Here is a 14,928-nt window from a genome sequence, read left to right as displayed (position 1 = left end):
GGGTGATAGTACGCAGCCATCTCTGACTCACTCTACATCTGAATATGTTTGAAATTTTTAATAATAAAAAGATTTTTTGGCCAGACACGGTGGCTCACGACTGTAATCCCGGCACTTTGGGAGGCCGAGGCAGGCAGATCACAAGGTCAGGAGTTCAAGTCCAGCCTGACCAACATGGTGAAACCCCGTCTCTACTAAAAATACAAAAATTAGCCATGCCTGGTGGCACGTGCCTGTAATCCCAGCTACTCAGGAGGCTGAGGCAGGAGAATCACTTGAACCTGGGAGGCAGAGGTTGCAGTGAGCCAAGATAGTGCCACTGCACTCCAGCCTGGGCGACAGAACAAGACTCTGTCTATTTAAAAAAAAAAAAAAAAAAAAAAAAAAAAAGATTTTTTTTCCTCCAAAAGCAAAAAAAAACCATGTTAGAGGTATTATTTTTAATAAGTGTAATAATGCATTTGTACGTATTCGGGAATATTTTGCAACGCTCCACTTAGAGGTAAATACAGAACGACTGCATCAGTAGATTAGGCAAATGGGACCTCTCCGCGAGGGTAGATCTCAATCAGCAGGATACTTAGAGACCCAGCATGATAATGATAAGGGCTGGACAGTCTCTTCTTACAACATCCAGAGCAAGGGAACTGGGCAGGATTTGGGGAATTTGTGCAAAGGGTGTGTGTGAGCTCAGCAATGAATGAAACCATTTGGGACAATGGCAGCTATTATCATTATTATTATAGCTCTTAAGATAACTGAGTATGTGTGAGACAGTAGTCTCAGCACTCTACCCAGATTAACCTACAATCATGTATTCAATTCTCACATGGTTCTCTGAGATAGATAATACTATGCCCATTTTGCAGCAGAGGAAACTGAGGCACAGAGAGGTTAGGAAACCTGCTTGAGGTTATAGGCTATCAAGTGGGAGAGGCGGGATCTGAACCCGGCACTCGGGTTCTAGAGCTCATGCCTTTAGCTACTAATACACCACTCCACTGCCTCGTGGGGTTTCAGTTAGGAGAGCTGAAGGAATTACTGGGCCCAGAGCCAACACCTCTTTCTCCATATGTCCACATGGTGGTTGTGGCAGACTGTATTTCCCCAAAACATGGCTGCAGTGATGTTCTGGCCCTTCCAGAGCCTTTGCCACCTACCTGTCAAGAAGTACAACTGTTTTCCTTCCCTTGGTCTCAAGTGACATTTGTGGTTGCCTCAACAAACAGAAAGTGGTAGAAGTTCTGTGTGACTTCCAAGGCCAGGTCATAAAAGGAGGGGTGGCTGCTGCCTCTGTCTGTCTCTCTCTCTCTCTTTCTGTCTCTCTCTCTCTCTTTCTCTGTCTTTCTCTCTGTCACACTCTATCTCTGTCTCTCTCTGTCTCTCAGTCTCTCTTTCTGTCTTTCTGTCTCTCTCTCTCTCGCTCACTCCGTCTCTTTCTCTTTCTGTCTCTCTCTCTCCCTCTTTCTGTCTCTCTCTCACTCTCTCTCTCCCTCTCATTCTGTCTCTTTCTCTCTGTCTCTCTCTTTCTCTCTCTCACTCTTTCTCTCCCTCTTTCTGTCTCTCTCTCACTCTCTCTTTCTGTCTGTCTCTCTCTCTCAAGACTTTTATGGCCGGGGGCAATGGCTCATGCTTGTAATTCCAACACTTTGGGAGGCCAAGGCCGGCGGATCACTTGAGGCCAGGAGTTTGGGACCAGCCTGGCCAACATGGTGAAACCCCGTCTCTACTAAAAATACAAAAAAAGAAAAAAAGAGAAAAAGACTTCGCCTTTAGAACCTAACCACCAGACCATGAGGAAGCCCCAGGTAAGACACGAAGAGGCCGACATGGAAGGGAACCAAGGCTGCAGCCAGGAGCCAACATCAACCCCAAGGCAGGTGAATGAATGAAGCTTCAGAAGTTCCTGATCTGCAGCTTTTGGGCTTTCCAGCTAAGACCTCAGACATTGTGGAGCAGAGACAAGCTGTCCCCGCAGTGCCCTGTCTGAATTCTGACTCACAGAATCTGTGAGTACAAAGAATGATTTGTTTTCACAATTAAGTTTTAAGAAAATTTGCTATGCAGCCTTAGTAACTAGGACAGAGACCTCCAATGACAACAAACAGTGTCTGTGGTTCTTTTTGGCCTCCCCTGACCCTTCACTCTGCTTTGCTGCCCAAAAGCAGCTCTGGACAAGGAGACAGACACACATTCCCAGTGGCCTCCGTGAATAGCCAGGGCCTCTAACAGTCACAGCAGCCTGTGGCCTGAGCAACACCCCCTGCCCACATGCCCCTCGGGGTGCTGCTGGCGCTGGGAGGTTGTGATGGGCTGGGCACAGGGAAGCCCCACACCTGCATCGTGCTGTGTCTGTGCACTCAGTAAGTGCTTGTCAAAACAGCTCGCAGGCCGGGCATGGTGGCTCATGCCTATAATCCCAGCAATTTAGGAAGCCAAGGTGGGAGGACCATTTGAGTCCAGGAGTTCGAGAGCAGCCTGGGCAACATAGTGAGACCCCCATCTGTATGAAAAAAAATTTTTTTTAATTAGCCAGGCATGGTAGTGTGCACCTATAGTCCCAGCCACTTGAAAGGCTGAGGCAAAAGGATCATGTGATCCTGGGAGGTCACAGCTGCAGGGAGCTATGATCCCACCACCGTACTGCAGCTTGGGTGAAGGAGTGAGACCCTGTCTGGGAAAAAAAAAAAAAGAATAAGTGGCTCATAGGGGCAGCGAGTGGAGTGGACGAGAACCTGGAACCTGGTGGCACCTGTCTGGGTTCAAACTCCAGCCCACAGCCCTTGGAAGTTCCCTGACTTCCCAAAGCCTCCGTTTCCTCCTCTGTAAAAGGGGAATGATCACAATGCTTGAATCACAGAGTAGTTACAAACATTGATGAGCCGAGTTTGGAACAGGTGGGTGATTCACAAACGCTTCCTGGAAGGAAATAATATGCCAATGGAAGCCCTCTGAAAAGAGGCGACCCCCATCAAAAACCCACAAACATAAGGGGGAGTAGTTACTGGAAGTTCACGGTTCAAAAATGCAGAGAGGTAAACTGAGGCCCGGGGAGGGACGAGGCCCTTACCTCGAGAACAGCTCACGCAGGCCGTGCAGCGGCCGGCCTCGTCCAGGTAGTAGTCGGGCTCACACTGCTTTCTGCAATCACCAGACCCCTCTGGGCATGGCTGTGTTGGGGACAGACCTGGGGAAAGAAGCAGAGAAGCTGCAGGCCAGGCCGCCTTGGCAAAGGCCTCACTCCCCACCCAACCCTGAAGCCCCCCATCCCTCACCGTGGCCAGCTCCCAAACTCCGCATGTCAGCTCAGTCCAGCCTTTCAGAGGGAGTCCTGAGGCTCAGAGAGGACAGGAATGCTGCGTGCATTCCACACGAGAGGAGGGTACTCATTGCCCCCCAACCAGCCCCTGCCCACTGTTCCTCCTGAGGCCACCATGCCACAGCTTCCCCCAACCCTGTCTCATGGCTCTGTCACTCCCCTGCTCAAAACTTTGGGAACAGCTTCCCTGAGAGCTCAGCACACTAGCGTAACTCCTGTTCAGAATGGTATTGGGCAGGGAGGGGCTGGGTGCCTCCTGCCTCCCTCTTTTAAAGACTGGTGTGGGCCGGGCGCGGTGGCTCACGTCTGTAATCCCAGCACTTTGGGAGGCTGAGGCGGGTGGATTACTTGAGGCCAGGAGTTTGTGACCAGCCTGGCCAACATGGTGAAACCCCGTCTCTACTAAAAAAAAGAAAAGTAGCCAAATGTGGTGGCAGGCGCCTGTAATCCCAGCTACTCGGGAGGCTGAGGCAGGAGAATTGCTTGAACCCAGGAGGCGGAGGTTGCAGTGAGCCGAGATCACGCCACTGCACTCCAGTCTGGGCGACAGAGCAAGACTCACCTCAAAAAAACAAACCACAAACAAACAAACAAAAGACATCATAGAGAGAATAAGCAAAGCCATGGAGCGGGAGAAGGTACAACTATAGGAAAAGAGCTCCAACCCAAAATTGTTAGAAGTCCCACAAATCCATTTTTTTTACAAAACCAACCCAAGAGAAAGGAAAGCACATACACGCAAAGATGTATTTTTCTTTCTTCATTATAGTCAAAAGGCAGAAACAACCCAAATATTCAAAAACTGGATAAACAGAGCTCGGCATATCTACGCCATGGAGGGCTATTCAGTAATAAAATGGGACTAGGTTGGGCGCGGTGGCTCACGCCTGTAATCCTCCCAGCACTTTGGGAGGCCGAGGTGGGCGGATCACCTGAGGTCGGGAGTTCGAGACCAGCCTGACCAACATGGTGAAATCCCATCTCTACTAAAAATACAAAGTTAGCCAGGCGTGGTGGTGGGCACCTGTAATCCCAGCTACTCAGGAGGCTGAGGCAGGAGAATCGCTTGAACCCAGGAGGTGGAGGTGGCAGTGAGCCGAGATTGCGCCACTGCACTCCAGCCTGGGCAACATGAGCGAAACTCCGTCTCAAAAAAAAGAAAAAGAAAAATGACTGAGGGTCGACCCTTCGCCATGGAGACCAGGAGGGCATCAGATGGACACGTGCAGAGGCTGGCCAGCTGAGTCGCAAGTGTCACAACAGCAGAGTGGGACCCATTTCCCTCTGACAAACCAACGTAGAGGGAAATAGAGGGAGAGATGGGGCACGGGTGTCCGGCACAAGGCAGGCCCTCTGCACTGCTGGCAAATGAATGAGCCCTCTGGTGTCTACCTCTGCCCCTCAATGCTTTCAGCCCTAGATCATACCTTACCACCGTCTTCTCTCCCCACCAGGAAAAGACCACAGATCACTGCCCGCCTGCTCCAAACACCCCCACTCATGGGCCATCCACCAATCGAGCACCCCAGGGAGACGACCCACAGCTTCATGGGGAAATTACCTGGATCTGAACTAGGCCTTCCCACAGAGGAGGGAGAGTCGGGAGCCCTCGTCAGTTTAGAAGCAGCTTCCTGGGCGAGGCGGGTGCCCCCTCTTACAGGCATGGTGCTGGCACTGGAGGTTGCTGGGGACACCGGGGTGGGCTTGGCCTGGGGGATGGTGCCACTGGGGAAGAAGCCAGAGATGGGACTGATAATTCTGCCAATGGGGCAAGGGAGGCCTGTGCTCACGAGTAACAGTTTCCACAGAGATGGGGTCCCAGGCCCTTGGCCCACTGCCTCTGGCGGGCCCACTGTAAGCTCCTGGGAGCAAGGCCTGTGTTTTCTAAGCCCTGTGGGTCTCCCATGTGCTCAGGGCAGGGCTGGGCACACCCTAGGGCCTCAAATGATCTGAGGGGCTTGGCAGAGAGGCACCCCAAAGTGCTGACACCATGGGCTGAATCCCGCTTACACCCCCAGCCCAGTTGTACCATGGGCGTCCTGTGGGGTGGGGCAGCCTCATCTGAAAGCCAGCTTGGGGGAAGAGGAGGAGGCAAAGCCAGGGAGTCACCTGGAGGGTTCCTTGCAGTTCTCTGGGCTGGCACAGGCAGGGCTGACCCCTGGGGAAGCCGGCTCACAGACCGTGTTCTTCTGCGCCGTGCCTGCAGGGGGGACAGCAGTGCCTTCAGAATCAGTGTTGGGGACCCAAAGTCTCCCGGAATACACCCTTCACTACCACAGGCCAGAGTCGGAGATGGGGCCCTTGGAAAACACAGCAGTCATCTGGAGGTGGCACCCGCCTGGCACCCGTTCCCCTTCAGAGTAAAGCAGCCTATCTTTCCCTGGGGAATTACTCTCCCTCTGATCTCAGCATCTGTGGTTAGGGGTTGGGACCGACTGAACCCCCTTTCCCGAGTGGCCATGAGACCAGGCTGGACCAATCAATCCGTTGCATTCCTCTGGCCACGATGAGCCAGTTCAGGGACGGACATGTGACCCAAGCCTGTGAGGTAGAATTTAAAGATTCTGGTTTGGGATTTAAAGGTTTTGGTTTTGGATATTAAAAATGTAAGAAAGGGAAGCTGTCTTCCCACTGGCGCTGGGCAGAGCTGCTTGTAAGTATCTTGCCGATGAACCAACAGAGAGGGAAATAGAGGTGAGAGATGGGGCAAGATGGAGCCCTGGATCCAGCCATGCCTGAAGCTTCTCAGAGCTATCCCCAGACTTTTAAGCTACATGTGCTAAAAAATTGGGGATTTTGCTACATGCAATCCAAGGAGTCCTGAAGAATGCTGGACAGAAGCAGAGTGGAGAAGAAAACACACACATCGTCTAGCCAGTGCCCCTCAGTTTGCCTGCTATGTCCTAACTGTGCCAGGAAAGTCCATTTTATTTACTTGTTTATTTATTTATTTGAGACAGAGTCTTACTCTGTCGCCCAGGCTGGAGTGCAGTGATGCAATCTCAGCTCACTGCAACCTCTGCCTCCCAGGTTCAAGCAATTCTCCTGCCTCAGCCTCCTGAGTAGCTGGGATTACAGGTGCCTGCAACCACGCCCGGCTAATTTTTAGTAGAGACAGGGTTTCGCCATGTTGGCCAGGCTGGTCTCGAACTCCTGACCTCAGGTGATCCACCCTCCTCAGCCTCCCAAAGTGCTGGGATTTCAGGCATAAGCTGCCGTGCCCAGCCCAGTCAAATGACTATAATCATACACTCTTCACCAGGCTGTCGTCAGGATAAACAGAAGAGTGCACGTGAGGTGCCCATCACATTGCATGACATATGGTAAATGCTATGTCCTTACACCCATCTGGACTCCCATCCCAACACTTAGAAGGTGACCCGTATGTCGCCAGGCACGGTGGCTCACACCTGTAATCCCAACACTTTGGGAGGCCGAGGTGGGCGGATCATGAGGTCAGGAGTTCGAGACCAGCCTGGACAACATAGTGAAACCCCATCTCTACTAAAATTACAAAAAATTAGCCGGGCATGGTGGCAGGTACCTGTAATCCCAGCTACTCAGGAGGCTGAGGCAGGAGAATCACTTGAATCCGGGAGGCAGAGGTTGCAGTGAGCTGAGATCACACCATTGCACTCTAGTCTGGGTGACAGATCGAGGCTCCATCACAAAAAAAAAAAAAATAAAAAAATGGTGGCCTGTATGTGTGGGACTTCGCTCTGAAGCTTTCCGTGGAGGTGAGCGCGAGCAATGCTGACCTCTCGTGTTCTGTGGCATGGTGGAGTGATGACACCTAAGCTTAGACATTTCCTGCTCTGTCTCCGCGGGCAATTTACCTCCCATCTCCGGACCTCGATTTCCACACCTGGAAAATGGGGCTAATACTGTCTGTCTTATGGAGACGTGAGAATTTCAGGAGAGACAGCCAGTGAAGGCTCTTAGCGTGGGGCTTGGCTGACTGGAGGCAGAAACTGCTTTCTATTTTACAGCTGGAAAAAAAACAACAACCCCGGAGAGCTGCCCCATGGGTGAGTCCACAGGGGACCCCAGAGATTAACCAGGGTTTGGCAGCTGAGATTAGAACACTTCTAAAACAGTGCTGTCCAACAGAGATATGCGAGTCACACAGGCCAGCTCAAATATTCTGGGAGCCACACTTTAAAAGGTAAAAAGAAATCAGTGCAATTAATTTTCATTATTTAACCCAGTATATCTAAAATATTACCATGTTTGCAGGCAATCAATATAAAAAATAATTAATTATATTCTTGTTTATACTAAGTTTTCGAAATCCAGTGCATATTGTACACACAGCACTTCTCAATGCAGACGTATCTGCATTTTTTTTATTTTTTATCGGATTTTTTTTTTGAAACAGAGTCTAACTCTGTCGCCCAGGTTGGAGTGCAGTGGCACAATCTCAGCTCACTACAACCTCCACCTCCCGGATTCAAGCAATTCTCATGCCTCAGCCTCCCAAGTAGTTGAGATTTCAAGCACCCGCCACCACACCTGGCCAACTTTTGTATTTTTAGTAGAGACGAGGTTTCACCACATTGGCCAGGCTGGTCTCAAACTCCTGACTTCAAGTGATCCGCCTGCCTCAGCCTCCCAAAATGCTGGAATTACAGGTGTGAGCCACCGCACCCGGCCCCTAGCTGCATTTTAAGTGCGTGGCCACGTGCCACGGGCCAGGGGCACTGCATTGGGCAGCTGGGGTCCAGGGGCAGCAAAGGGAGGCCTCTGGCGCCGCTGTGTGGCAGTCTCAGGAACACTGCCCAGACAGTCCCTCCAGCAGGAAGCCTTGGCTGGAACAACTGAACTCAAGATGTTTTTCACAAAGATGCAGAAGTTTCTGAGCTGGAAACTTTTGGGAAGTTTGGCCTTTTTGGAGAGGCCCCCAAGGCCTTCAGTTATACCTCCTCATTTGAGAGATGGGGAGACCGAGGTCCAGAGGCGGGTGGGAACATGCCCCACAGTTGCAAATCTTTGCAAAATCCTAGGTATCTGCTGCCCAGTCCACTCCAGCACTCTCCCCTGCTTATGGGTGGAGGCCTCCATCATTCCTTAGCAGAGCGCTCTCCCCCGACCCTGGAATTTGACCAGATTTGAACTCCACCCCCCCACCAGCTCGGAGCTCCCTGTCAGGTGTCCCCATATCTTAATTCAATGAATCTCTATGGGGAGCAGGTGCCATGCCTAGCATTTGATCAGGCAGTGGGGAGATGTTGATGGACACCAGGGGCATGGTCTTTGCCCTCAGGAAGCTTCCAGCCAGGGAGGGAGACAGACATTGATCAAGCCAAGAGACAGAGAGAGGTATGTATCCACATTTGCAAAGGACACAGTGCTACCAGCTTCCCTAGTGAGAGGCCAGGGAAGGCCTCTTGAGGAAGTGGGGTGGAGAGCTCAGGGCTGAGTAGGATTTGACTAAGTGAATGGGGAGGGAAGGGTGTCTCCGACAGAGAGAACAGCACGTGCAGAGGGCGGGTGGGACAGAGAAGCACACACGTCCTCCAACCTGGAAGAAGGGCAGCGCAGGTGGAGCCCAGAGAGTGAGGGCTTGGTGCTGAGAGCTGAAGCTGGGAGAAAGGAGGGGGCTGTGTTGGGATCACATCCTGAGACTCTGATTCTGGGAAGATGGCTTAGACACGTTTTCCCCTCATCCTCCCGCCAAGAACCGCTAAAAGCCCTGGACATTATGTACAAAATAAATGTAAGAAGGCTCTGAAACATGAAGAGAAGAAGGCAGGTCAACTGGGGGCCTTGGGACCTGAAGGACACCGTGGTGAGTCCCTGGAGTTTTCTTTTTTTTTTTTTTTTTTTGAGACGGAGTCTTGCTCTTGTCACCCAGGCTGGAGTGCAATGGCTCAATCTCAGCTCACTGCAACCACCGCCTCCCAGGTTCAAGTGGTTCTCCTGCCTCAGCCTCCTGAGTAAATGGAATTACAGGGCACCTGCTGCCAGGGCTGGCTAATTTTTGTATTTTTAGTAGAGATGAGGTTTCACCATGTTGGCCAGGCTGGTCTTGAACTCCTGACCTCAAGTGATCTGCCTGCCTTGGCCTCCCAAAGTGCTGGGATTACAGGCGTAAGCCACCACACCTGGCCTTGTGTCCTTATCTTTAGAGTAACAGGAAGATACTGAAGCATTTCAGGTATATATCCGTGTGTGTGTGTGTGTGTGTGTGTGAGACAGAGAGAGAGTGAGTGAGTGAGAGAGAGAGAGAGAGAGAGAGGATCAGATTCAGATTTGGTCTTGCAAGGGTCATTCTGGCTGTCTGCCATGGGGGCTGTATAAGAGAAGGTATTCGGGGTGAGAAGGTGGGGAAGATAATTGGAGGCCAAATCTACAGGACTCGAGGATGGGCTGGCTGTGAAGGATGAGGGAACGAGGGAAGGATAAAAGGGGCAGGCAGTGGTAGCGATGGGGGTGACTGCCAATCCCCAGGTTTGCACAACAGGGCATGGGACTCCAGAGAAGGACCTGGTTGGGGGAGGGACCACAGGCACTTTGTGGCACTTTTCTCCTCAGTGGACAGTGGACACAGGGCTGCCTCTGAGCCCATCTCCCCGGCTCCATACAGTCTGCAACTGCGGCAGCCACTCTGTGCTGTGCTCCAAAGCCCACCCACTCCTCATGCCTCCCTTCTGGAAGATGGTCCCAACTCCACCCAGACAGGTTCTGTGGCCCATACCCCTTCTCTGGTTAAAAGCAGCCCTGACACCTTGTACTATCAGAGAAGTAGAAGTCAGAGAGGTAAGAAACTTGTCTGAGGTCACACGATAAGTTGGAAAAGAAACCCAAGTTTCTCAAGTCTTGAGCCTGGGGCCAGATCTCTCAGCACCTCTAACTCCCAATGCCCTGAACCTGAAAGGGGGAAGCCAACCCCAATCTTCTAGGAAACTCCCAGGACAGAGACTTGAGGTTCCCTTCTTGTTTATGGGGCATCAGATAACTTCTGCCTTGAGCCTCAAACCAAAGCAAGACCTCCTCCAGCCAGGTCTATGCCAGGGGACAGCAGGGTCTCTCTGCACCTGGAACACAAGGTGGGGGAGGGCAGCAGAAGGGCTGGGTGCTGGGTACATCCCTGGCCCATCGCCAAAGGAGACATGATCTGTCCAACAGTCTCCGGGAAGCGGGAGGTCGGAAGTCAACAGTGCACTGGGGTGGGCGGAAGGTGCAGCAGCAACAGCATAGATCTCTGTCCTGAGTTAAGGGTGGGGACACTGACCTGGGAACTTGACAATCATCCCTGCCGGACAGACAGAATGGAAGAAGCAGCGGGCACAGGAGTTGACGGCAGACGTGGAACAGAACATGCCGGGTCGACATTCGCAGACACGGGAGGAGTTCCATGCACACGGCGTCTTCTCCACGAGGTCGTCTAAGGGACACAGACAGGGGTCACAGAGGGGAACAGAAGGAAGGCGTCTCTCCAGATAGCTCTTGAGATGAGGGGGAGAGGGCAGGTGCAGTCCGCAACGCAGCCTCCGCCTCCCAGCTCAACCCCCTGGTGACCACTAAAATTGGATTAAAAATTAAATTAATGTACCAATTTTTTAAAATGCAAAAAAATAAAAAAAAGACATGGAGGAAACTTAGATACATATTGCTAAATGAAAGACACCAGTCTGAAAAGGCCACACACTGTCATTCCAACTACATGACATTTCTGGAAAAGATGAAACTATCGAGACAGTAAAAAGATCAGTAGCTGCCAGAGGTTCAGGGGGAGGGAGAGGTGAACCAACGAGCTCAGGACACATTTAGGGCAGTGAAAATATTCTGGATGCCACGGTGATGGTGGGCACGTGGTCATCATCCGTTTGTCTAAAGCCCTAGAATGGGCAACACAAAGAGTGAACCCTGCTGTAAACTATGGACTTCAGTTAGTAATAATAATGCATCATTATCAGGTCATCAATGCTAACAATTGTGCCACACTAATGCAAGGTGTTCGTGACAGGGGAGGCTGGGTGCAGTGGCTCACGCCTTTAATCCCAGCACTTTGGGAGGCCGAGGCAGGAGGATCATTTGCCCTCATATGGCGACATAGTGAAATCCCATCTCTATAAAACATGGGCAACATGGTGAAATCCCGTCTCTACAAAAAAAAAATACAAAAATTAGCCAGGCATGGTAGCACATGCCTGTAGTCCCAGCTACTTGGGAGGCTGAGGCGGGAGGATCGCTTGAGCCCAGGAGGTTGAGGCTGTAGTGAGCTGTGATTGCACCACTGCACTCCAGCCTGGGCAAAAGAGTGATACCCTGTTTCAAACAAAAAATAGGGGAAACTGTGGGAGATTGGGAAGGGGGTTGAGGGTATATAGGAACTCTGTATTTTCTGTTCAATTTTCCTGTAAACCTAAAACTGCTCTAAGAAATAGTTTATTAATTTTTTTTTTTTTAAGACAGAGTCTCACTCTGTCACCCAGGTTGGAGTGCAATGGCGCAATCTCGGCTCACTGCAACCTGGGTTCAAGTGATTCTCCTGCCTCAGCCTCCTGAGTAGCTGGGATTACAGGCACACACCACCACGCCCAACTAATTTTTTGTATTTTTATAGAGACGGGGTTTCACCACGTTGGCCAGGATGGTCTCAAACTCCTGACCTCAGGTGATCCACCCGCCTCGGCCTCCCAAAGTGCTGAGATTACAGGCGTGAGCCACTGCACCCAGCCAGAAATAGTTTATTAATTTTTTTAATGGACAAAGGACTGGAATAGACATTTCTCTAAAGAAGATACACAGCTGGCCAATAAACACATGAAAAATGTCCCACACCGTTAGCCATTAGGGAAATGCAAGTCAAAATCACAGTGAGATACCACTTCACAACCACTAGAATGACTCGAATCAAAAAGACAGATAATAACAACTGCTGGCAGGAAAAGCAGGAAATCACAGGTTGGTTAACAGACATAAAAAGTACAGCTAGGCGGGGAGTGGTGGTTCACACTTGTAATCCCAGCACTTTGGGAGGCCGAGGTGGGCAGATCACCTGAGGTCAGGAGTTTGAGACCAGCCCGGCCAACATAGTGAAACCCTGTCTCTACTAAAAATACAAAAATTAGCCAGGTGTGGTGGTGCACACCTGTAATCCAAGCTACTGGGGAGGCTGAGACAGGAAAATCACTTGAACCCGAGAAGTGGAGGTTGCAGTGAGTTGAGATGGCCCCACTTCACTCCAGCCTGGGCAAAAGAGCGAGACTCCGTCTCAAACAAAACAAAACAAAACAAAAATAGCACTGGTAAAACTAATAATTAATGTGTAACAGGCCTGGAGACCAAGAAGGGGCAAGCTTGGCAGATCAGAAACGAAGACAACTCCCCGAAATACGGAAGGCAGAGGACAGATAAGATCAGAGTGAAGGAGACCACAGCCCAGAATGCAGCCAAGGGGGACTCTCTGAAGAAGGGGGAAAGGCTCTGGATAGCTCCTCATCACTCATGCCACAGAGCCAGAGGCCACGCGTCTTCCCGCAAAGAGACTGTTGCAGCCCCACCTGAGCCCCATTGCCCTCAGAGGTGGGTTTCAGAAGCCCCATTCGCAGACCACCGGCATCATGAGATATGATGTGCACAGAACTAGAAGTCGCCAAACATCAGAGGAAAACCAGCGCCAAGGAAGAGGAGCTCTGAATGCAAAGAGCACTAACACTCAAGGAGGCAGAAAAGAGGGAAAACAGAACAAAACATTAGAAATGATACCTTCACGCACCACAGAGCAACATTTCAGTCAACAATGGATGGCGTACATGATGATGGTCCCACAAGATCATAATGGAAGCCGGGCGCGGTGGCTCACGCCTGTAATCCCAGCACTTTGGGAGGCCGAGGAGGGCGGATAACCTGAGGTCAGGAGTTCAAAACCAGCCTGGCCAACATGGTGAAATCCCGCCTCTCCTAAAAAAAATACAAAAATTAGCCAGGCATGGTGGCGCATGCCTGTAATCCCAGCTACTTGAGAGGCTAAGACAGGAGAATCGCTTGAACCCAGGTTGCAGTGAGCCGAGATTGCGCCATTGCACTCCAGCCTGGGCAACAGAGCAGGACTCCATCTCAAACAAAAAAAACAATAAAAGAGATTATAATGGAGCTGAAAAATTCCTATTGCCTAGTGATGTCATAGCCACGGCAATGTCGTAGCACGTGCGTTACTCCCATGTTTGTGGAGATGTTGGTATAAACAAACCTACTGCCCTGCCAGTTGTATAAAAGTGCTGCATAGCACATGCAATTATGGATAGTATGTAATACTTGATAATGATCATAGAAAGCTATATTGCTGGTTTACGTACTTACTGTACTATACTTTTTATCATTTTTTTTTTTTGAAACAGGGTCTTGCTCTGTTGCCCAGGCTGGAGTGCAGTGGCATGATCACAGCTCACTGTAACCTCAACTTCCTGGGCTCAAGCCATCCTCCCACCTCAGCCTCCTGAGTAGCTGGGACTACAGGCGCATGCCACCACACCCAGCTAATGTATTTTATCTTGTGTAGAGATGGGGATCTCACTGTGTTGCCCAGGCTGGTCTCAAACTCCTGGCCTCAAGTGATTCTCCCAGCCTGGCCTCCCTAAGTGCTGAGACTGCAGGCATCAGCCACCAAGCCGGCCTTATCATTATTTTAGAGTGTACTCCTACTTATTAAAACAAAAGTTAACTGTAATACAGCCTCAGGTAGGTCCTTCTGCAGGTATCCAGAAGAAGGCATTGTTATCATAGGAGACGATACTCCATGCATGTTACCTTACCGCTCCTGAAGACCTTCCAATGGGACAGGATTCTTTTTTTTTTTTTTTTGAGACAGAGTCTCATTCTGTCACCCAGGCTGGAGTGCAGTAGCACAATCTCAGCTCACTGCAACCTCCGCCTCCCGGGTTCAAGCAATTCTCCTGCCTCAGCCACCTGAGTAGCTGGGATTACAGGCGCATGCCAACGTGCCCGGCTAATTTTTATATTTTTAGTAGAGATGGGGTTTCACCATGTTGGCCAAGCTGGTCTTGAACTCTTGACCTCAAGTGATCTGCCCACCTCGGCTTCCCAAAGTGCTGGGATTACAGGTGTGAGTCACTGCACGCTGCCAATGGGACAAGATTTGGAGGAGGAAGACGGTGATTCTGATGATCCTGACTCTGTGTAGGCCTCGGATAATGTAGGTGTTTGCGTCTCAGCTTTTAATTTAAAAATGTTAAAAATAATAAAATAATAAAATTTTAAAGTAGAAAAAAGTGTAATGAATAAGGCTATAAAGAAAATATTTTTGTACAGCTGTACGATGTGTTTGTGCTTTAAGCTAAGTGTTATTACAAAAGAGCCAAAAGTTTAAAAAGTTAAAGTTTATAAAGTGAAAAAGTTGTTTAATTTATTATTGAAGAAAGAAAAATGTGTCTTATAAATTTAGTATAGCCTAAGTGTACAGTGTTGATAAAGTCCACAGTAGTGCATAGTAATGCCCCAGGCCTTCGCACTCACCCACCACTTACTCATTGACTCACCCAGAACAACTTCGTGTCCTGCAAGCTCCATTCACGGTAAGTGCCCTGTACAAGTGTGCCATTTTTTTTATCTTTCATATCATATTTTTTTTTTAGATGGTGTCT

General features: G+C 50.2%; 1 protein-coding gene across 6 annotated transcripts in view; it reads right to left on the bottom strand.

The window, feature by feature from the left end:
• The window catches only part of TNFRSF8 (TNF receptor superfamily member 8), an 80,905-nt gene that overhangs the window by 29,123 nt on the left and 36,854 nt on the right, over positions 1-14,928 (bottom strand). For all 6 annotated transcript variants that reach the window (NM_001243.5, XM_011542441.4, XM_047434793.1 and 3 more), the window contains 4 exons: positions 10,554-10,706; positions 5,429-5,519; positions 4,881-5,044; positions 3,071-3,187 (listed from right to left, as the gene is read on the bottom strand). In NM_001243.5, coding sequence (NP_001234.3) covers positions 3,071-3,187; positions 4,881-5,044; positions 5,429-5,519; positions 10,554-10,706 — 525 coding nt within the window. The remainder of the gene's footprint in view (positions 1-3,070; positions 3,188-4,880; positions 5,045-5,428; positions 5,520-10,553; positions 10,707-14,928) is intronic.

The sequence above is a fragment of the Homo sapiens genome, chromosome 1, assembly GCF_000001405.40.
Source record: "Homo sapiens chromosome 1, GRCh38.p14 Primary Assembly".
NCBI classification, from domain to species: Eukaryota; Metazoa; Chordata; class Mammalia; order Primates; family Hominidae; genus Homo; species Homo sapiens.
The sequence above is the reverse complement of the archived record's forward strand: the minus strand, read 5'-3'. Positions and strand labels throughout refer to the sequence as shown.